Raw genomic sequence first — 22,992 nt, forward strand, 5'->3', positions numbered from 1 at the left:
CCAAAGTGCTAGGATTACAGGTGTGAGCCACCACACCCTATCAGGATTGGATAAAAATTTTACTCCTGATGTTTTCATAGAATTGTTAGTTACTAATTATTTATATTAATGATAAGTAATATTTTTTTAGACATTTACATCCTATATAATTTGTGAGTTTGATTGTAATTGAAATTGCATGTTGTTAAGATTAGATTTTTTGACATGCAGAGCTGACTTACCTGTTTGGTGAGTTATTGAACCATGTAATATCTGTCTTCAAATATTTCTAGTTTTTGAATTTTTCTGTGGCTGCAGAGGGTGACAGCCAGAACTGTGTCTTATCCTTCTTTGTATCTCCACAGTGACTTTGTCAAGAAAGTTTTTTCTTTATTCCCCCCAACTGTTTTTTTGTTTGTTTGTTTTGGTTTTTTTTTTTGAGACAAGGTCTCACTCTATCGCCCAGGCTCCAGTATAGTGCCGCAGACATGGCTCTCTGCAGCCTTAACGTCCCAGGCTCAAGCAATCCTTCTGCCACAGCCTCCCAAATAGCTGGGACTGTAGGCAAGCCTGGCCACAACTGTTTATTTGGAAAAAAATTCAACCTACAGAAAAGTTACAAGAATAGTACAGTGAATACCCATATACTCTTCACCTATCTTCATCAACTTAACCATTTTGCCACATTTGCTCTACCACTTCACAGTACACACGCTTTTTTTTTATGACCCATTTAAGGATTGGTTGCACTTCACCACTTAATAGTTCAGCTTGTGTACCCTAAGAAAAGTCATTTTCTTATACAACCACAATGCAATTATCACATGAGATGGAAACTTAACATGTAATTCTGGTTTCCCCAATTGTCACAATAATGTTCTTTATAGCTTTAATTTTTTTGTTTTGTTTTGTTTTGAGATGGAGTCTTGCTCTGTCGCCCAGGCTGGAGTGCAGTGGTGCGATCCTGGCTCACTGCAAGCTCCGCCTCCCGGGTTCACGCCATTCTCCTGCCTCAGTCTCCCGAGTAGCTGGGACAACAGGCGCCCGCCACCATGCCCAGCTAATTTTTATGTATTTTTAGTAGAGATGGGGTTTCACGATGTTAGCCAGGATGGTCTCGATCTCCTGACCTCCTGATCTGCCCTCCTTGGCCTCCCAAAGTGCTGGGATTACAGGCGTAAGCCACCGCGCCTGGCCTATAGCTTTCATTTTTACATATATGTGTGTGCACAGATATATTAATTTTTAAAATAAAATTTATTTTTAAAAATCAAGATCTCATTAAGGACCACAGTTGCATTTAGTTGTCATATTTCTTTGGTTTGCTTTAATCTTGAATAGTTCTCTCTCTTTTTTAAAGTTTTTATATCATTAATATTTAAGTATTTGGGCCATGTTTTACATGATACTCTCAATTTGTATTTGTCTGTTTTTTTTTTTTCTCATGACTAGTTTCAGATTAAACATTTTTTGGCAGTAATGACAATCCTACATAAGTGAGGGTGATTTCTTAAAGGATCACATCAAGAAGTATTAGTTTGGGTTGGGTGCAGTGGCTCACATCTGTAATCCCAGCACTTTGGAAGGCCAAGGCAGGAGGATTGCCTGAACCCCGAGTTTGAGACCAGCTTGGGCAACATAGTCAGACTCTGTCTCTATATAAAATTAAAAAATTAGCTGGGCATGATGGCACATGCCTGCAGTCCCAGCTACTCAGGAGGCTGAGGCAGGAGGGTGATGATTTTCTCTTTCTGTTAAATTTCTTTCCTATCTCTTAGTTTGTATGATGGGTTCTTAAACTATAAATATTTTTGAAAGAATGAGGAAAGTCTAGTGAGTGAATGTTATAGGGAAACAATTTTCTGCTCATTATAAGACAGGCTAAGCCACATTATTTTGTGCTCTCACATTGTGCAACACTCTAATATTTATGTGGTAAAATGAGAGAAAGCAAACTCTTTAATGCCAGACTAGAAAATATTAATATTTTTCTTATTTTTATGGTCTAGTAGAGTGCCTGGCACTTAACAAGTGCCCAGTAAATGAAGTAAATGTCTTTTTATTATTATTATTATACTTTAAGTTCTGGGATACATGTGCAGAACCTGCAGGTTTGTTACATAGGTATACATGTGCAATGGTGGTTTGCTGCACCCATCAACCCGTCATCTAGATTTTAAGCCCCACAGTAAATGCCTTTTCACAGAAGGCATTTAAGTAGAGACCAACTGACCACTTTTTATGATATTAAAAGGAGGATTTTTGCACCATTCAATAGTAGGTTAGAATAGATTATTTTCTGTACCAGGCCTTCAAGTCAGTTAATGGTAGTTTGCCAGTAAAATTTTATAAAGTTCCTATATGATGCCATACCGGAAAATTTTAGAAATCCCACTAAAAATGTATAGTCCTAAAAACTTTGTCCTAAGTAGAGACAGAAGTATGGCAAAACATGGGCATATTTATTTTATTTTATTTTATTCTTTGTTTGAGTCAGAGTTTTGCTCTTGTTGTCCAGGCTGGAGTGCAGTGGCATGATCTCAGCTCACTGCAACCTCCGCCTCCTGGGCTTGAGTGATTCTCCTGCCTCAGCCTCCTGGGTAGCTGGGATTACAGGCGCCCACCACCACACCTGGCAAATTTTGTATTTTTAGTAAGAGACGGTTTCACCATGTTGGCAAGGCTGGTCTTGAACTCTTGGCCTCAGGTGATCTCCCCTCCTTGGCCTCTCAAAGTGCTGGGATTACAGGCATGAGCCACCATGTCCAGCCATATTTTGAAGAAATAGTTTTAATGTTTGTTCAGGTATACAATATATGTAGCAAAATGCATGACTAAGGAGCATGAATCTTTAGGAAACACCTTGAATTTATACATGGTTTTATATATATGTGCATGTGTGTATACACACACAAACACACACACATAAAATATGTAAGCACCATTCAGGTGAAGATACAGAACATCTCCAGCACTCCATAAGGGTTCCTTATGCACTTTTTCTGTCAGTACCTTCTCCTTTCATCAAGGTAACCATTGTTCTCACTTCTGTCCCTACAGATTAGTTTTGCTTATTCTTGAATTCATATAAATCCAAACAATAGTATATAATGTTTTGTGTTTAGCTTTTTAAGCTCAACTTAATATTATGAGATTTATCCATATGCATCAAAAATTAATTTATTTCTGAGTAGTATTCCATTGTATGGATATGCCATCATTTATGTTATGTTCTCCTGTTAGTGGCCATTCAAATTGTTTCCAGTTTTTGGCTATTATGAATGAAATGAAGCTGCTAGAAATAATCTTTTTTTTTTTTTTTTTTTTGAGTCTCGCTCTGTTGCCCAGACTGGAATGCAGTGGCAGGATCTCGGCTCACTGCAACCTCCACCTTCCAGGTTCAAGCAATTCTCCTGCCTCGGCCTCCCAAGTGGCTGGGATTACAGGCACACGCCCAGCTAATTTTTATATTTTTTGTAGAGATGGGATTTCACCATATTGGCCAGGCTGATGTTGAACTCCTGTCCTTAAACAATCTGCCTTCCTTGGCCTTCCAAAGTGCTGGGATTACGGGCGTGAGCCACTGTACCCGGCCGTATGAATATTGTTATACATGTTAAAAACAGCTTTTACTGTTTTTCTTTTAACTTTTTGTTTTGAGACGGAGTTTTGTTCTTGTTGCCCAGGCGGAGTGCAATGGTGCGATCTTAGCTCACTGAAACCTCCGCCTCCTGGGTTCAAGTGATTCTCCTGCCTCAGCCTCCCTAGTAGCTGAGATTACAGGCATGCGCCACCACGCCCAACTAATTTTTGTATTATTAGTAGAGATGGGATTTCACCATGTTGGCCAGGCTGGTCTCAAACTCCTGACCTCAGGTGATCCACCCACCTCAGACTCCCAAAGTGCTGGGATTACAGGCGTGAGCCACCGCACCTGGCCTCTTTTAACTCTTTAAAAGCTTCTATTTCATGTTTAAGTTATAGAGAATATACATCTGTATAGTATGGGAAATAAAAGTTATAGAGAATGTAGAGAGGAGAGCATCATTTTAATAAACATTTGAGCATGTTCTATTTAATAATTAAGTGGATTTAACGCCAACCAACATGTTTTGCAACCTTATACTTCATTAAATATAGCTAATGTGATCTGCCTAGTAATGCAAAGAAAAACAAACTTCAGGCCGGGTGCAGTGGCTCACACCTGTAATCCTAGCACTTTGGGAGGCCGAGGTTGGCGGATCACAAGGTCAGGAGATTGAGACCATCCTGGCTAACAGGTGAAACCCCATCTCTACTAAAAATACAAAAATTAGCCAGGCGTGGTGGCACGCACCTGTAATCCCAGCTACTCGGGAGGCTGAGGCAGGAGAATTGCTTGAACCTGGGAAGCAGAGGTTGTAGATGATGCCATTGCACTCCAGCCTGGGCGATAGAGTGAGACTCCTTCTCAAAAAAAAAAAAAAAAAAAATGAACTTCAAGATTTATTTTATTACATAGTAAATGAAAAATGATGACATTTTATCAAAGTTGATTTTTTTCCCTTTTTTATTGTGGAAAAATATTAACATATATAACAAATGATTTACAATTTTAACAATTTTTAAGTGAATTCATTGGCATCAAGTACATTCACATTGTTTTGCAACTATCACCACTGTTTTCAAAGTTAATTTTTAAAAGCAATATAAATTAGACCTTAAGTAGTTCCCAAGGTATTAAAGATTAAGAAATTATGAAATAATATTGAAGTTTTGTTTCTTTTGCCACTACAGTTTTTTAAAAATATTTTTCTCTTATGGCAAAAGAAACCTGGGTAAAGGAAGCTTTAATGCAGGTTTTAAGGCCTCTTCTGTCATTACCATGATTTGATGATACCAAAAGGAGAAACTTACACATTTGAAAACATTTTCATAGTATAAGCCTGATTTGTTTTTTTGTTTTTTTTAATCCATGGGTTAATGAATATTTTGTGCTACCTTTCAAAAAGTATGAATTTCAGATTTTCACTTAAGTTCCCATTTGTATTTTTAATTATGTCCTGCCAAAGTCTTGAATTCTCTGTAGTGCTCACTTTGTTGATTTGCTTTTCCTAGACGGATATTTGTCTATTCTCTGGGAGTATAACTCAGGTTGGAAGTCCTGTTGGAAGTGCAATGAATCTTATTCCTGAAGATGGCCTTCCTCCCATTCTCATCTCCACTGGTGTAAAAGGAGGTAAGTGGACTACATATTTAAACAGTGATAGTTCTATCTGCCAAATGTTACCTTCTAATTAAGGTAGAGAGACAGAATTTGAGTGACATTCACCTTTCTCTTATCCAACAAAACAAACTCCCCCAAAACTATGAAAATGGTTGTTGCTGTTATTATTTTAGAGTAGATGCTTATGTTTTTATATTATAATGTCATTTTCAGTTTTTGAATGGATATAATATTACTTATAATGTAAATGTAGTTTATTAGCAGTTTTTAAAAATATTTCAAAGCACATAATATTCTGAAGGATTGCTTGTGGTTTAGGATGAACCCACTCTGATACAGTCATTTATTTAGCTTTTCATTTTGAGGTATAATATACATTCAGAAAGAACGTATAGTAAGTGTGAAGAGCACTGAATTTAAATGGCAGTTTTACTGTTAAAAATATTTTTAGGGATCTTGATAAGAAGTAAAATTATTATCTAATCAAAAGAATGCTTAATATTATGTGAAATTTTATTTTTATAATTTTAACTTTTATTTTAGATTCAAAGGGTATATGTGCCAATCTGGTACATGGATATAGTGGATAATGCTGAGGTTTGGGTTATGATTGATCCTGTCACCCAGGTAGTGAGCATAGTACCCAATGGGTAATTTTTTTTTGTTTTTGTTTTTGTTTTTTGTTTTGAGACAGGGTCTCTTTATCCAGTCAGCCACTGATGGGCAGTTAGGTTGATTCTATGTCTTTGTTATTGTGAATAGTGCTGCGGTGAACATTCAAGTACATGTGTCTTTTTGGTAGAACAATTTATTTTCTTTTGGATATACACCCAGTAATGGGATTGCTGGGCTGAATGGTAGTTCTCCTTTAAGTTCTTTGAGAAATCTCCAAACTGCTTTCCACAGTGGCTGAACTAATTTACATTTCTATCAACAGTGTATACATGTCCCCTTTTCTCCACAGCCTCACCAGCATCCATGGTTTTTTGACTTTTTAATAATAGCCATTCTGACTGGTGTGAGTTGATATCTCATTGTGGTTTTGATTTGCATTTCTCTGATGATTAGTGTGAAATTTTATTGCTGACATATATGGATCAGTATACAATTACTACATTTTTAGAAGGTGGCTTATTAATTAACCTCTCCTGAACTTTGTCCTAGGCTTTTAACTGGTCTCCTTGCCTTCAGTCTTTCTTTCCTTCATTTTGTCTTCCACACTGTTGCCAGTTATGTTTTTAAACATAGATATTATCTTATATTGCTTTTACTTAGAAATATTTAATGGATTCCCAATGTCTTTAGTGTAAATTACTTACCTTAGCAAGCAATTTTTTTTTTTTTTTTTTTTTTTGAGATGGAGTCTCACTCTGTCGCCAGGCTGGAGTGCAGTGGTACAGCCTCAGCTCACCACAACCTCCGCCTCCCGGGTTCAAGCAGTTCTCCTGCCTCAGTCTCCTGAGTAGCTGGGACTACAGGTGCATGCCACCATGCCCGGCTAATTGTTGTATTTTTAGTAGAGACAGGGTTTCACTATGTTGACCAGGCTGGTCTTGAACTCTTGACCTGGTGATTTGCCCACCTCGGCCTCCCAAAGTGCTGGGATTACAGGCGTGAGCTACCATGCCCGGTCTGACAATGTTTCTTATAACCTTATCTCAGCCTGTCTTTCTAGCCATTTATTATCAACTTTATTTCCAGCTATTCCCCAGCACCTTACATGTATACTGCAGATTATTTGCTATTTTTTGAATATTTACTTTTCATTCTTCTGTACTTTTTCTTGTGCTGTGGAATAATGGGAAAGAATGGACTTCAGAATTGAACAAACCTGACTTTTAATGCCAGTACCGTTCCATTCTAGCTGTGTGATCCAGTTGGCAAGTCATTCATCCTCTCTGAATTTGTTTCCTAGTCTGTTTTATTTAAAACAATTATATAACTACACCTACTTAAAAGTCATTGTGGTTATTAAGTTAGATATCATACCTGTAAGTACATACCAAGAAAGTATCTGGCATAAAGTAGGCATGTAATTAATATTTTCCATTTCTTCCTTTCTTCTGCCTAGAATACCCCTCTCTACTGTAGACTTCCTGAAGAACTCCTCAACCTTTTAAAATCCAGCTTAATGGTTAATTCTTCTCTGAATCCTTACCTGGGCTGCTTAGAAAATAGTGATTTGCTTCATTATCTCTGTTCTAATAGTGGTTCCTATAGACTGTTGGCTACATTAACACTTTTTCTCATTGCAATTTAGATATTATATTTTCAGATCGTATTCTTTCACTTAGACTATGAAATTCTTCATCTTATTTTATACTTGCATTTACTGCTCCTTGCATGGTGCTAGGCCTGTAGTAGGCTCTCAGCAAATGCTGTCTATATTGTACTCTCAAATGCAGCTATGTCCCAGATAGTTCAGCAGTGAACTTTCACATACAGTTAAGCATTCTTTTGACTGCATAATGCTTTTGCTTCTTTACCAGGACCCTGTAAAAATATCTACTGTTAGTAAAATTGCTGCTTAGGGTTCAGATTTTTATTTTAATAAATCTTAGATTAATAAGGAACTAAATTGGCCTACTCTGTTGTTAAAAAGAGTCAGATTGTTGGATTCTATTGTTAGTAAAATACCTATTGTTAGTAAAATTATCTATTGTAAAAATATCTATTGTTAGTAAAATTGCTGCTTAGGGTTCAGATTTTTATTTTAATAAATCTTAGATTAACAGGGAACTAAATTGGCCTACTCTGTTGTTAAAAAGAGTCAGATTGTTGGATTCCATTTTCATAAAAAGTTATGTCCGTTAAATCTAATTGTCAAAACTTCTCCTACCAAGAAAGAACAGTGAATTATCTATATTACTTAAACTATATTACAGTCTCTTCATCAAAATTTTGTAATTTTTTATTCCAGTGGGATGACTTTACTTAAAAAATTTTAAACTCAGGATTTCTCTTTCCAATAAATATTTTTAATAATGGAGTAGATATTTCCCATTGTATCCAAAAAATCCATTTTAAAATTTCCATTAGAAAATGGGAAATGATGTTACTTTGTTCTACCTGACTGTCCCTCAAATATGCATTTTATATAAGACCAACCAAGCAACATTCAACTTTTAGGTTTTCAGTTCCTTTCCCATATCTCTAGGTTCTACAGTGATTATTACGCATGATTTGACTTCAAGCTGAAAGGACCACTGTCATTCAAAATGAGATGCTGAAGCACATACTGTGCTTCCAGAGATTAAATGAGAAGAGTTACATTCAGTATTAACTTGTTCATGTTCAGAATCTTATGTGTGATTTACTGATGATTTTAGTGACATATGTACTAAACTCTTAAATTATACTTAAAGGAATTGTTTTATGAAGCCAGTCACACACAATACTTTTATTTTCTGGGTTCATTTTTTAAAGTTTAAGTTTTTAATTGTCAAAAATGTCAAACAGTACAAAAGGTCATAGAGTAAAAGGTAGGGCTCTCTTCTACCCCAACTATTTGATATCCTTTCCAGAGGTAACTAGTATATTATCACTTTCTTGTATATCATGAGTTATTTTAAATGCTGGTCTTGAACATTTATTATGTGAAATTCTTGTTATAATAGTTGGAAAATTTTTATTAAATAGAAAGGTAGTCTTTAGATTGTGGCACAAACCACTGTGGGGAGAGGTCTATACACAGGATAACCACATTATCATCTAAGGTGGACTGGGTCACTTTTGAGAGTAAAAGAGGGCACTATTAATTTGATACTGAGCCAGCAGATACAAACCATGCTCTGTATGCACCTATTGATAAATCAAATGCATGTCTCTTTTCTGTGAATAATTAGCTCATTTCTCCATCTGATCTCTTTCTTGATTTGTTCCTTTAACCAATCTATTACATTGTTTTCTCCCCTTTCAGACTATGCTGTGGAAGAGAAACCATCACAGATTTCAGTAATGCAGCAGTTGGAGGATGGTGGCCCTGACCCACTTGTATTTGTTTTAAATGCAAATTTGTTGTCAATGGTTAAAATTGTAAATTGTAAGTTATAAATTTTTAAAAATTAAAATCAGATGTTTTACTGACTCATAGTACATAAAACTTTCAGATTTATTACACACAAGTATTTTTATATAGAGCCACATCTTTTTTTTTTTCTTTTTTTTTTTTTGAGACAGAATCTCGCTGTGTCACCCAGGCTGGAGTGCAGTGGCACCATCTCGGCTCACTGCAAGCTCCACCTCCCGGGTTCACGCCATTCTCCTGCCTCAGCCTCCTGCCTGAGCAGCTGGGACAACAGGTGCCCGCCACCACGCCCGGCTAATTTTTCGTATTTGTTTTTTTTTTAGTAGAGACAGGGTTTCACTGTGTTAGCCAGGATGGTCTTGATCTCCTGACCTGGTGATCCGCCCGCCTCAGCCTCCCTAAGTGCTGGGATTACAGGCATGAGCCACCGCGCCTGGCCTAGCCACATCTTACTGAACACTGAGTTCTGAAAAAGTTGGTTTTTATAAAATGATATATCCCAGAGGACAGCTGTGGAACTAACCGAAACTCTCACATTTAGTTACAGGGGTGAGGTAGGTGAATTCTCCATGGATGAAAGCCAAACAAATCTTGAACTTATCTGAGTTAAGTTCTTCTTGAGATGAGTATGTTAAATCACAACTTACCACCAGAATAACTGGTGGTAGATAAATTATACAGGCTACTCAAATAATTTACATGCTGTGTTTTAATCCCAGAAACCTCAATTATGGTGCAAAACTTTATTTAGGAAAAGTGTTAACTAACACACAGTAAAGCTTCAATACATCATAAATTGAGATTCAGAAGAAACTTCTCAATTGTTGGTGCTAGCATCATGGGCATCAGGATGAGAAAGACGACAGTATTTGAGAATTTTTTGAGACAGAGTCTCACTCTGTCACCCAGGCTGGATTGCAGTGGCATGATCTCTGTTCATTGCAACCTCTGCCTCCTGAGCTCAAGCAGTTCTCCCACGTCAGCCTCCCAAGTAGCTGAGACTACAGGTGCACACCACCATACCTGGCTAATTTTTTTTGTATTTTTTTGTAGAGACAGGAGTCTCACCATGTTGCCCAGGTTGTTCTTGAACTCCTGAACTCGAGTGATCTGCCTGCCTTGGTCTCCCAAAGTGCTGGGATTACAGATGTGAGCCACTGCGCCAGCTAGTAATTTTGAGAATTATTTAGAGAATGCATTTATTCTGAATGAGTGTTAATAGGCAATTTTAAAGGACAGAACCTCTGGGGAACCATCCTGCAGTTCTCCATGTGTACTTAAGTTGATTTTGGAAACCAGAAACATATACTACTTCCTTAGAAGTTCTACATTGATGAAATGTGGGTTTCTGGCTTACTTGCTAATCACACTCTTGTATGTTTGGCCAGTTATTAATGCTTGCTACCTTCTAGGATCAGATTTAAAATGAATTTGCTTGAAATTTCAATTTGCCATATCTAGTTTATAAATTATGCTTAGAAATTAGCTAACCTAAGACCAGGCACCATGGTGCACACCTGTAGTCCCAGTGCTTTGGGAGGCCAAGGCAGATGAATCACTTGAGCCCAGGAGTTCGAGACTAGCCTGGGCAACATGGTGAAACCTCATCCCTACCAAAAAAAAAAAAAAAAAAAATTGGGCATGGTGACATGCTCCTGTAGTCCCAGCTACTCTCGAGGCTGAGGTGGGAGGAGTTCTTGAGCCCAGGAGACGGAGGTTGCAGTGAGCCGAGATCATGACACTGCACTCCAGCCTGAATGACAGAGTGAGACCCTGTTTAAAAAAAAAAAAAAAATTAGCTAACCTAGATTCTTGAAGTATATACCATCATGAGGAATGTCCTATTTAGGTACATAAAGCAAGGATTCCCAAAGTGAAATAAAGATGTCTTTGTTTTTTTGATTAACATTTGTTTTGATTTACATGGTGGTATTCATAATTTTATTTGAGTCCTTTTTCAGTTCCTTTGGGGATCCCATTGTGTTGGGGTATGAAGAGTAAAAGTGTCAAGGATTAAACATTGTTTTTGACTACATATGGTTTCTGCTGTTCATACTCTCCATATAGCCTTAAAGTGAAGGAGTGGAACTAAGTAGTTCAGAAAAGCCATCCTTTTCACTAATTTTTACAGCATGAAGCCAAGTAAAGTCATGTTGCTGATTATCTAGAATTTTTTCCTGGAAAGGACTATAGTTAAAATAGCTGGAATCTCTTGGTCATATATTAAATTTAATAAATATACATAAAAATATATTTCCTTTAGGTCACAACCTGAAGATAAAGCTATATTATTGGCTTTTGTTGTAATTACTTCTAGCCTTACATTGGTAATTACTTCCTTCGATGATGTGATTTTTTAAAATATAAAGGTGGAGGACTATGTTCTTCAATCACGTTTGGCTTACAATACATAGTTTGGTTTTATTTTAGTATTAATAGAATGTTGCTTCTTTTAATAGGAGTTAAAAGTTTTAAGTGCGTTTTATTATTATTTCTTTTACTTCCATTTCAATCATTTTTCTTTTCTTTTCTTTTCTTTTTTTTTTTTTTTGAGACGGAGTCTCACTCTTTCGCCTAGGCTGGAGTGCAGTGGCTCGATCTCGGCTCACTGCAAGCTCCACCTCCCGGGTTCACGCCATTCTCCTGCCTCAGCCTCCCGAGTAGCTGGGACTACAGGCGCCCGCCACTGCACCCAGCTAATTTTTTTGTATTTTTAGTAGAGACGGGGTTTCACCGTGTTAGCCAGGATGGTCTTGATCTCCTGACCTCATGATCCACCCGCCTCGGCCTCCCAAAGTGCTGGGATTACAGGCGTGAGCCACCTCGGCCGTCCTCAATCATTTTTCCAAGTGTTTAGAAAAGAGCCAGAGGCATTGGCATGTTTTATTTTCTACAATAGGTTTTTGGCTCAATGCAGTGACAGTTCACAGTTGAATTATACAGACTCAGTGTGATCTATTTTAATCTTTGCTGTATTGTAACACAGATTTCTGTGCATCTTTTTTTAAGAGTAAGGATTGATAGGAATGTCTTTATTTTTGTGTTTTTATTCCATCTGTAGATGTGAACAGGAAGTGCTGGTGTTTCACAACCAAGGGAATGCATGCAGTGGGTCAGTCTGAGATAGTCATTCTTCTACAGTGTTTACCGGATGAAAAGTGTTTGCCAAAGGATATCTTTAATCACTTTGTGCAGCTTTATCGGGATGCTCTGGCAGGTAGGAATGCTTTATGACTTAGTCTGCTCCCTTTGTAGATGACAAAAAAATTTTGAATTCAAATACAAAATAATAGTCTTAACTTTGGACTTAAGCATGGCAGGGGACTTTGATATTAGTGGCAAGTTGAAGCTTTCCATGGTTTGAAGAAATTATAAATTTTAGTATTGTACCTGGTATAGTTTTTATTTTACAGAGGCTGGAATCAAAGCTGTAAGAGAATCTGGTGACCTAAATGTAAGAATATTTTCTTTTTAGTGGCCTGGGGTCAGGATATTGGTACCTGGTAGAAGGAAGCATATTTGTAACTTACTTCTTGTTTCTTTGGTTAACAATATTTATTTAATCATAGTGTAAATGCTAATGAATATTCAAATTTCAAAAACAATTAGCATACATGACTATGGCTTCAAAATAAATTGTAAATATTAACTGTAACAACTTAAAAGTAAAAGCATAGAGGTTAGAAGCTGGGAAAGACTAAGGATATTAACATAAAAAGAAACTAAGATTGAGAGAAAAGAAACACATTATTTGACATTATAGTTATTTATTATGACATTGTGTTATTTGACATTACAAAGTCAGCCTCCCTTTGATTTAACAAATGAGGTAGAAAAACGGTGTAATTGAACTATTCTCGTTTATTGTAACAGGAAGTCAGTACATAATATCTGTATTTGATAAATAGGGTTTATCTTTGAGGAAGAAGGCCTGGAGAGGGTGTGAGGGTGACCGGGGTATTAAAACTATTTTCATGTATTATTTGATAATATTTCATACATATATTAAAACAATAAATTATTCAGACTTTCTTAATGCAATAATTTTCATTGTGGGATTCTGTGCCAAAGACAGTATCCAGAATATAAAATGCACTTCTGTGAATGAAAGGGTTTATTGCAACATTACCTAAATTTAACACAAAAATTCAGAAGCAACCTGAATGCCTTAGCTATAGGTGGAAAGTTTAACTGTGTTATACTTATTAGATGTGAGGATCTTTTTGAGAACTTTTTTTGGCCATTAAAACAATATTTATGAAAAGAATGTAGTAACATGGAAAATGCTCTTTAAATAATTACAGAAGCAGGATATATAATTGTATTTTTAATGTGATGTAGATTATGCGTAAAAGATTGTGCCTTTATGTCTTCATTAGTCTCTACAATAATTTAGGTGTAGCATTACATAAGGGCAAGGTGATACATTGGAAACTGACCACATGATACCTGTGAAGTACCTTTTAATGTTTACCCTGTCTGTTCCAAAATGTATAGGGTTAAATCTGAAATCATCCAGGTCCTCCAGGCCACATAATACCCTGGAGCTGAATTTAGTCCTGGAAATAACTGGGAACTTTCACTTTTCTCCTCAATCTGAATGTATTCACTTTTAAACACTCTAGAAAAATGGCATTGGAGGTTCAAGTAATTGTAGATTCATGTGGGTTTTGAGAGTGTGTTAGAGACTAGGGTATGGGAGGTTCATGAATGTCTTATTTAGGAGCCCATGCTTTATTCTGTAGGCAATGAAGAACCATTGAAAGTATTTGAGATGATGAGTGACATAATCAGATTTGCATTTTAGAAAGATGACTCTGGAAGCAGTGTGAAAAATGGATCAAAGTCCGTGAGTCTGGTGGCAGTTAAGAAGCAATTTCAGGATAAGCAAATGTATATTCATACACTAGAATACTGCTCAACAGTAAAAATGAACTAACTGCTGATGTACACAACAACATGCATGAATCTCACAGACATTATGCTGAGCAAAAGCCAGGCACAAAAAAGTACATATTGGATGATTCCATTTATATGGTTTTCTAAAACAGGCAAAATTAATCTTTGGTGATAGAAATTAGGTCAGTGTTTGCCTAAAGTGAGGTGGGGGTGCAGGTGCTAGAACTGACTACAGAGAGTCCCAGAAAACTTTCTGAGATGAGAGGTCTATATCTGGATTAGGATAGTGGTTATGTGGGTGTTTGCCAAAACTCATTGAAATGTACACTTAAAATCTATCATTTTTATAATATATAGATTATACCTCAGTAAAATTTATTTTTTAAAAAGATATTGCAGGAATCCAGCAAGAAATTAAGAAATTATCAGGATTTAAATTAAATAATTGCAGTGGAAATAAAGAAGAGTATTGGAGAGATACGAAAGATGTGGTGCTTCAATTCAGTAGGATTTGGTAACTAACTGGATATAGGGGGTTAGAGGGGACAAGTCAAGGTTGGCCTCAGATTCCTCGCTTGAGCACCTAAGTGTATGTTGGTCTTCTTCTATTCACCATCTTGATGAATAACAGATTTGGCAGAGGTAAGGGAATTCTTTGTTCAGTGTGCTGAATTTGAAATAATGACATCAGATGAAACATGAAAATGGCAGATGATTATATGGGTATGGATCCCAGAAGATAGATCTGAGTTAAAATACAGATTTTGGAGACACAGCTTTCCTGTGATAGTTGAGAGTATCGTTGTGAATGGGATAGGCCTGTGTGAAGAGACTACGGCTGTAGATGGAATCCTGAGAGATAGACATCCTCTCAAGGAGAGGATGTGAATTATTGCATGAATTATTAAAATATGTTTAGCATAAATTTTTTTTTTTTTTGAGATGGAGTCTCGCTCTGTCACCCAGCCTGGAGTGCAGTGGCGCTATCTCAGCTCACTGCAAGCTCCACCTCCCAGGTTCACGCCATTCTCCTGCCCCAGCCTCCCAAGTAGCTGGGACTACAGGCGCCCGCCACCACGCCTGGCTAATTTTTTGTATTTTTAGTAGAGACGGGGTTTCACCGTGTTAGCCAGGCTGATCTTGATTTCCTGACTTCGTGATCCGCCCGCCTCGGCCTCCGAAAGTGCTGGGATTACAGGCGTGAGCCACCGCGCCCAGCAATGGTTATTTTTTTAAAAAGGATACTTATATGTCAGTTCAGTCCATTTTGAACTATTGCAAAAATTTTGAAACAACAAAAATACTTGGAACTGATTACAAGATACTAATGATAGTCTAAGGTCAGACTATAATACATCTAAGCCAACTAAAAATATTTTCTATAATGTAGGATAGGGACACGAACATATATATGTATATCTAAGGAAATAACATTTCAAAAGCATAAGTGAGACGAAAGAGTTTTTCCTTGAATAGGAATCATTTCACAACTCATCAAATATTGGGACTAGAAGGCATTTTAGATAATTTAATACAAACTCTTCATTTTTTAGATAAGGAAAATCAGACCTAGAAGTGTTAATGGCGTACCTAAATCACAGACCAAGTTGGTGGCAGAATTGGGACTGTAGCTCCCAGATCAGTATTGTTTACATTATGTCAGTTGCCTCTGTGTACCATTAATAATATATCAGTTCTTAAAAACACAGATATATTATCTATATACTATACATATTTATTAAGAACCTTATTTTTAGATAATCAGGGTAATAGCTTGATATATTTCACTATAAATTTTTTAATAAGTAAAAGCATATTTTGGGTGTTCTAAAACGGGGTCCCCAACCCACAGGCCATGGACTGGTATTGGTCCGTGGCCTGTTAGGAACCAGGCCACACAGCAGAGGTGAGGGGCAGGCAAGCAAGTAAAGCTTCATCTGTATTTACAGCTGCTCCCCATTGCTCACGTTAGCGCCTGAGCTCTGCCTCCTCTCAGATCAGCAGCGGTATTAGATTCTCATAGAAGTGCGAACCCTGTTGTGAACTGCGCGTGTGAGGGATCTAGGTTGTGTGCTCCTTATGAGAATCTAATGCCTGATAATCTGTCACTGTCTCCCATCACCCCCAGATGGGACAGTCTAGTTGCAGGAAAACAAGCTCAGGGATCCCACTGATTCTACATTATGGTGAGTTGTATAATTATTTCATGACATATTACAATGTAATAATAGAAATAAGGTGCACAATAAATTTAATGCGCTTGAATCATCCTGAAACCGTCTCCCCTTCCCCACAGTCCGTGGAAAAATTGTCTTCCACAAAACCCATCCCTGGTGCCAAAAAGGTTGGAGGCTACTGTTCTAAAATGATAGCAGGCTGGGCACGGTGGCTCATGCCTGTAATCCCAGCACTTTGGCAGGCCAAGCCGGGTGGATCACCTTAGCTCAGGAGTTCAAGACCATCCTGGCCAACATGGTGAAACCCCATCTCTACTAAAAATACAAAAAATTAGCCGGGTGTGATGGTGGGCGCCTGTCATCCCAGCTACTTGGGAGGCTGAGGCAGGAGAATTGCTTGAACCCTGGAGGCAGAGGTTGCAGTGAGCCAAGATCGTGCCATTGCACTCCAGCTTGGGCAACAAGAATGAGACTCTGTCTCAAAAAAAAAAAAAAACGTATCGCAATTTATTATTTTTCTCTTCTGTGTAGCACATTGAGTGAAATTGACAAATTGTATCTTAAATTTCTCCTGAGTGTGAAACCTTGAATACTGTATTACTAGCTTAGGGTTATTCTGCCCTAAATCACAGAAAAGCCTTAGGAGCTATTGAATGAACTTTTTTATAACTTCCTGTGAATTTTAAAATCTAAACTACAGGTATTTAATAACCATATGTGTGTTGTATATCTATATATGTGTGTGTATCTGTGTTTCACATATATATACACACACACTTTTTTGTCATACACAGTTTTTGCATTCTGCAGTGGAGGGAAACATTATAATTTGTGAGAAATTATGTTCTGAGAGTTTCAGAATGCCTTCTGGTTATGACAGTGCCATCGGAGGTTGTAGACTATATATTGTTTCTCCCTGTCTCCTATTCATTCCTCCATATTTTGTACCTGTTTTTTTGCAAACAATCTATTCAGAACATAGACTTGAATGAAATTGGACTTGTATCTACCAGATTGTTATTTCTGGAGTTAATCTCTGGTTGTTTCCCTATCTTACTCAAAAGCTACTTTGGCTTTGTATTGCCTTTAGAATAAACTGTGCTCCAACATTCAGTATTCTGCATGATCTGTTCCTATATTTTTAGTCTCATCTCCTGCTAGTCATCTCTCCATACTTCCATTGTAGCCAAACAAAACATTTATTGGTTCATTTTGTGTATATTCTGATGATTTTCCATTTCATTACCCATGATTATGCTACTCCCAACCGTGCTATTTCCCCACACCCCAACTGTCTCAATCCTATCAGTTGTCCTAAATCTTAAAGACCACTTTCTCCATGAATTCTTTCTTGATGACCCTCCCAGACAGAAGTAGTCTCTTCTGAACTCCCTTAATCTTTTATTTTTAATTTAATTAATTTATTTATTTTGAGGCAGAGTCTCGCTGTGTCGCCCGGGCCGGAGTGCAGTGTTGCGATCTTGGCACCCTGCAACCTCTGCCTCCCGGGTTCAAGTGATTCTCCTGCCTCAGCCTCCCAATTAGCTCCCAAGTAGCTCCCAAGTAACTGGGACTACAGGCACCTGCCACCACACTTGGAATAATTTTTGTGTTTTTAGTAGAGACGAGGTTTCACCATGTTAGCCAGGCTGGTCTTGAACTCCCAACCTCAGGTGATCCACCCGCCTGGGCCACCCAAAATGCTGGGATTATAGGTGTGAGCCACCATGCAGTCTAATCTTTTATTAAGAAAGTGTTTGGTGTTGTTATGGTTTCAATGTTTGTCCACTCTGAAACTCATGTTGAACTTTAATTGCCATTAGAACAATATTAGGAGGTGGGACCTTTAAGAGGTGATTAGGCCATGAGGGCTTCACCCTCATGGATGGGATTAGTGCTGTTATAAAAGGAGGGGGTTCATTCCCTTCTTGCTCTCTCTTTGGGAAGCTGAGGCAGGAGGATTGCTTGAGGCCAGGACTTTGAGACTAGCCTGGTCAACATAATGAGACCCTATCTGTACCAAAAAAAAAAAAAAAAAAATTAACTAGGCCTAATGGCACATCCCTGTAATCCCAGCTACTTGGGAGGCTGAGGTGGGAGGAGTCCTTGAGCCCAGGAGTTTTTGAGGCCGTAGTGAGCTATGAGTGCACCACTGCATTACAGCTTGAGTGACACAGTGAGACCCTATCTTTAAAAATAATAATAATATGTCATGGTTCATGTTTTTATTTTATTTTTCAAATTCTGAACCTTTTGGTAAATTTATTAGAATTATGGTATTGTAGTTTTGCAAAGTAACTTTTCAACTGATGAGAAAGTTATATGGAACTATTTATGAAGAAGTGATTTAAGACAAAATACCTAACATTTTTTGAACACTTAATATATGCTAAGCAGTATATTCATTGCCTTATGTACACTATTTTATTTCTTCTTAAGTACAACTCAGATTCATACTGTTACTGTTTCTATTTACACATGAGGAAAATGAAAGACACCAAAGGCCTAAGTAACTTAAGATCACACAGTTAGGTGATAAGTGGCTGAACCCAGGTTTAAATTCACCTATGTTGTCCGTAAATCTCATGTTTCGAACCATAAGAAGTACTATAGTGTCTCTTGAGCTGTTTGTTTAAGAGATAGAAGTCTTGCTCTGTCACCCAGGCTGTGTAGCAGTGGTGCCATCATAGCACACTCACTGCAGCCTTGATCTCCTTGGGCCCAAGTGATCCTTCCTCCTCAGCCTCCCAAGGGGCTGGGATTACAGGCATGAGTCACCTGACCTGGCTCCTCTTGAGCTTTCATGATCAATGTCAGAGATACACTAAACTGAGGACATGACCTTTTATGAAGTAGTCATGCATAACTGCAGTTTGCTGCATTACAAAGAACTCCAAGAAGCTTTCTAAATTCTTTTGATGGCTTGAGTTTTAGTCATATTACCACTTAGAAATTTATTTATTGGCCGGGTGCGGTGGGTCACGCCTGTAATCCCAACACTTTGGGAAGCCGAGGCAGGCAGGCAGATCACTTGAGGTCGTGAGTTTGAGACCAGCTTGGCCAACAATGGCTAAACCCTGTCTCTGCTAAAAATACAAAAATTAGCTAGGCATGGTGGTGAGCGCCTGTAGTCCCAACTACTTGGGAAGCTCAGGCGGGAGAATCAATTGAACCCGGGAGGCGGAGGTTTCAGTGAGCTGGGATCACGCCACTGTACTCCAGCCTGGGTGACAGAGCGAGACTCTGTCTCAAAAAAAAAAAAAAAAAAAAAGAAAAAGAAATATTAGTATTTCTTGAAATGAATGAACCATTTGCTTGGAAATGGTTCCACTTGAGTTGATGTGAGGATTAATAAATATACTTTGAAACAAAAGGAAGCTATTGACACATAGATATTTAAGTTATATTTGAATTGAATTTAAAGATGGCTGGCTACTTATAAGCATTTGAAAAACAGTTTAAATTCCAAATTAAAGATGGAAAATTGTAAATTACTGTATCTGTATATTTTTTGAAAGGCTGCGTGACATACAAAGACTAGGAGATTGAAAGATCTGCTTTCTGCTTTCTAGGTTTTACTTTGCCACTTATTTACCTCGTCTTTTCAGAGTTACTTCACCTCTACCTCTAAGCTTCAGTTTCTTCATTTGTCAAATAAAACCCCAAATTTCAGGGAAATGGTACCGTTCTGCTTACCTACTAGCACTGATCTGATGATTACCTCATTAATGTTATGTAAAATTACTTTATAAACCATTGATATAAAGCATTTAACACCTTTGACAGGTCACTTAGAAGCAAGATTTGGTATCTATTTTGGTTATATGGGTTCTTCACTAGTATTGGGGTATATATAAAATTAGTTCTGTGGATTCATTACATTGAGTGCAGTCGTTGAGAAGTACCTATATAAATTAGTACATTACAGACTTTATGAATTCAAGAGCTTCAGATTAGGTCTTCAGATGAAAGCCTTTCTTTCTTTGTCAAATTCTTATACCCACTGTTTTATTTTTGCCAATATCTACACCTGTGCAGTGTTACTTGTTTGTAGATGAGATGGTACATGATAGTCTAATTCAGTTATTATTGGTAATCTACATTTTTTAAAGTGATTAATATTTAAAGGATAAAAGATATATTTTATAATGAGAGTGGACTTCGTGAAGAATCTGTGATTGGGATGAAGAGAGTGTTAAATGGAAGAGGCAGAAAGGAAATCAGTATCTGTGGAAAATAACTACCAATAGATTCTAGGCTCTAATAGGGAAATCGCAAAGGAATAATGAGTGAATACCTTGAGTACTAAGCCAACATATTTTTCACCTCTAAGCTATATTTACTAGGACAGTCTTTGTGAAATATAAACATTACACTGTGTCTTAGTCTATTTTTGCTGCTATAATGGAATACCACAGACTGGATAATAGGTGATGAACAGAAATGTATTTCCTGTAGTTCTCATGGCTGCAAAGTCCAAGATTGAGGGGTAGGCATCTGGTGAGGACCTTTTTGCTGCATCATCCCATGGCAGAAGGGCAAATGGGGTGGGGAAGAGAGAGAAAGAATGTGCATGTGCGTGAGGGCATGTGTATAAGGGAGGGCAAACTTGTCCTTTCATAACAAACCCACTCCCAGGATAACAGCATTAATCCAGTCACCTCTCATGAGGCCTTGCCTCCTAGCACCAAGTTTCCAACACATGCTTTTTGAGGGATATATTCAAACCACAGCATGCTGTTGATAGAGTTACAGGAATGCTGTCATGCACCCTACATTGTAGAGGGAAAGCATCTCTTTAATTCCCTATTCTCCTCCTTATTCACCAAAGCTAGATAAAGAGATGAAAAAAAATTTTTTTCTCTTTGACAAATTATCTGTTGAATTTTGTATGAAGTGTCTCTTATATTGTATCCTAGAATTCCAGGATCTAGGGAGGTGGTAAAGAAGCAATGGTAAATTTGGGGATCTTATCTCCCTAAAGTTCCTGACACTCTATCCCTGATCCTGCAGTGGCTGCCAGAAAAAATGTAAATTTACTTAAATCTTACTCTAAAATCATTGAAAGTCCCCCCAAAAATCATATATTTGGCTGATCAATATATGTATATTTGCATTAGAATAATAATAGTTATAATTTTTTGAGAATACAGTGTTGCTGGTCCTGTTAGGCATTTTATAGATTTCCTTTCATTTATTCTTTATAACACATCTGGAATTTAATATAGTTTCTCCTCCCATTTTACATGGACATTGAGGCTCAGAGAAGTAACTTGCCCCAGATCCCACAACAGTGAATGATCAAACTAGCATTCAAACCCATATCTCTGGGACTCCAAAATCTGCAATTTATTTTTCAAAATGCCATACTGCTACGTTGATATGACAATTGTTTTGTTTTCATAGATCTGGCCTAGCAGCTTAATTGTGCAGCCAGACCTGGGTAATCCTGGAGCAAGAGTACTACCCCTAAATTCCTAAATGTACTACCTTAAATGCAAAATATAGATGATAATGTTTAGGTGAACATGACTTTCAGCCACAAAGCTTCTCTGAGTTTAAAGGGGAGGTATTCCCTTCACTTGTGGCTGCTACTGTCAGGATACCTGTCCGCTAAAATCAAGGATGCAAAGACCCATAACCATTATAAGAATAAACTCTAGTTTTCAAGAAAAGTAAGCATAAATTTCTCTGATGGAGATTGCTTCATTGGGTGTTATTGCTTTCAAAGGTATCAAAGGAAGCTCGTACTTGGCTAGTGAACACATTCGTTGTTCCATCATTGAGCAGCTCTTGTCAGAAAGTCCTTTTGCAATTCTAAACTGAGGAAAATGTCTCCTTAATGAAGGGTTGATATGTTTGTTACTGTTTCATTCACAAAAGTATTTTGAATTATAAAATGCTTTGGCCAGGCATGGTGTACATGAATTACATGCTCACACCTGTAATCCCAACACTTTGGGAGGCCAAGGCGGGTGGATTACTTGAGGTCAGGAGTTCGAGACCAGCCTGGCCAATATGGTAAAACCACATCTCTACTAAAAATACAAAAATTAGCCAGGCGTGGTGGTGGGTGCCTATAGTCCCAGCTACTCGGGAGGCTGAGGCAGGAGAATTGTTTGAACCCGGGAAGGAGAGGTTGCAGTGAGCTGAGATCACACCACAGCACTCCAGGGTTCCAGGGTGGGTAACAGAGCGAGACTCTGTCTCAAAAAAAAAAAAAAAAAAAAAGAGAAACCTGCTTAATATGAATTTAGATAAGCCCTAAATTATAGAGCTATGTTTCATATTTGTCTCAAAAAATTATAAACAATAAATCCTGTCCAAGCACGGTGGCTCGCGCCTGTAATCCCAGCACTTTGGGAGGCCAAGGCAGATGGATCATTTGAAGTCAGGAATTTGAGACCAGTCTGGCCAACATGGTGAAACTCTGTTTCTACTAAAAATGCGAAAAAAATCAGCTGAGTGTGGTGGTGCATGTTTGTAATTGTAGCTATTCAGGAGGCTGAGGTGAGAGGAATTGCTTGAACCTGGGAGGCAGATGCTGCATTGAGCCAAGATCACACCACTGCACTCCAGCCTGGGTGGCAGAGCAAGACTCCATCTCAAAAAAAAAAAAAAAACAAAACGAGAAAAAAACAACTTGTCTGTGGTACCATCTTCATAAATCCTCATCTTCCCTTAATGTCTTATAACTGTACTTA

At 37.7% G+C, this 22,992-nt stretch overlaps 1 protein-coding gene across 5 annotated transcripts in view; it reads left to right on the forward strand.

Annotated features, from left to right (window-relative positions):
- Window positions 1-22,992, forward strand: part of ZFYVE9 (zinc finger FYVE-type containing 9) — a 204,546-nt gene that overhangs the window by 127,299 nt on the left and 54,255 nt on the right. For all 5 annotated transcript variants that reach the window (NM_004799.4, NM_007324.5, XM_047434682.1 and 2 more), the window contains 3 exons: window positions 5,077-5,197; window positions 9,105-9,227; window positions 12,274-12,429. In NM_004799.4, the coding sequence (NP_004790.2) occupies window positions 5,077-5,197; window positions 9,105-9,227; window positions 12,274-12,429 (400 nt within the window). The remainder of the gene's footprint in view (window positions 1-5,076; window positions 5,198-9,104; window positions 9,228-12,273; window positions 12,430-22,992) is intronic.

This window comes from Homo sapiens, chromosome 1 (genome assembly GCF_000001405.40).
Source record: "Homo sapiens chromosome 1, GRCh38.p14 Primary Assembly".
In the NCBI taxonomy this organism is placed as follows: domain Eukaryota; kingdom Metazoa; phylum Chordata; class Mammalia; order Primates; family Hominidae; genus Homo; species Homo sapiens.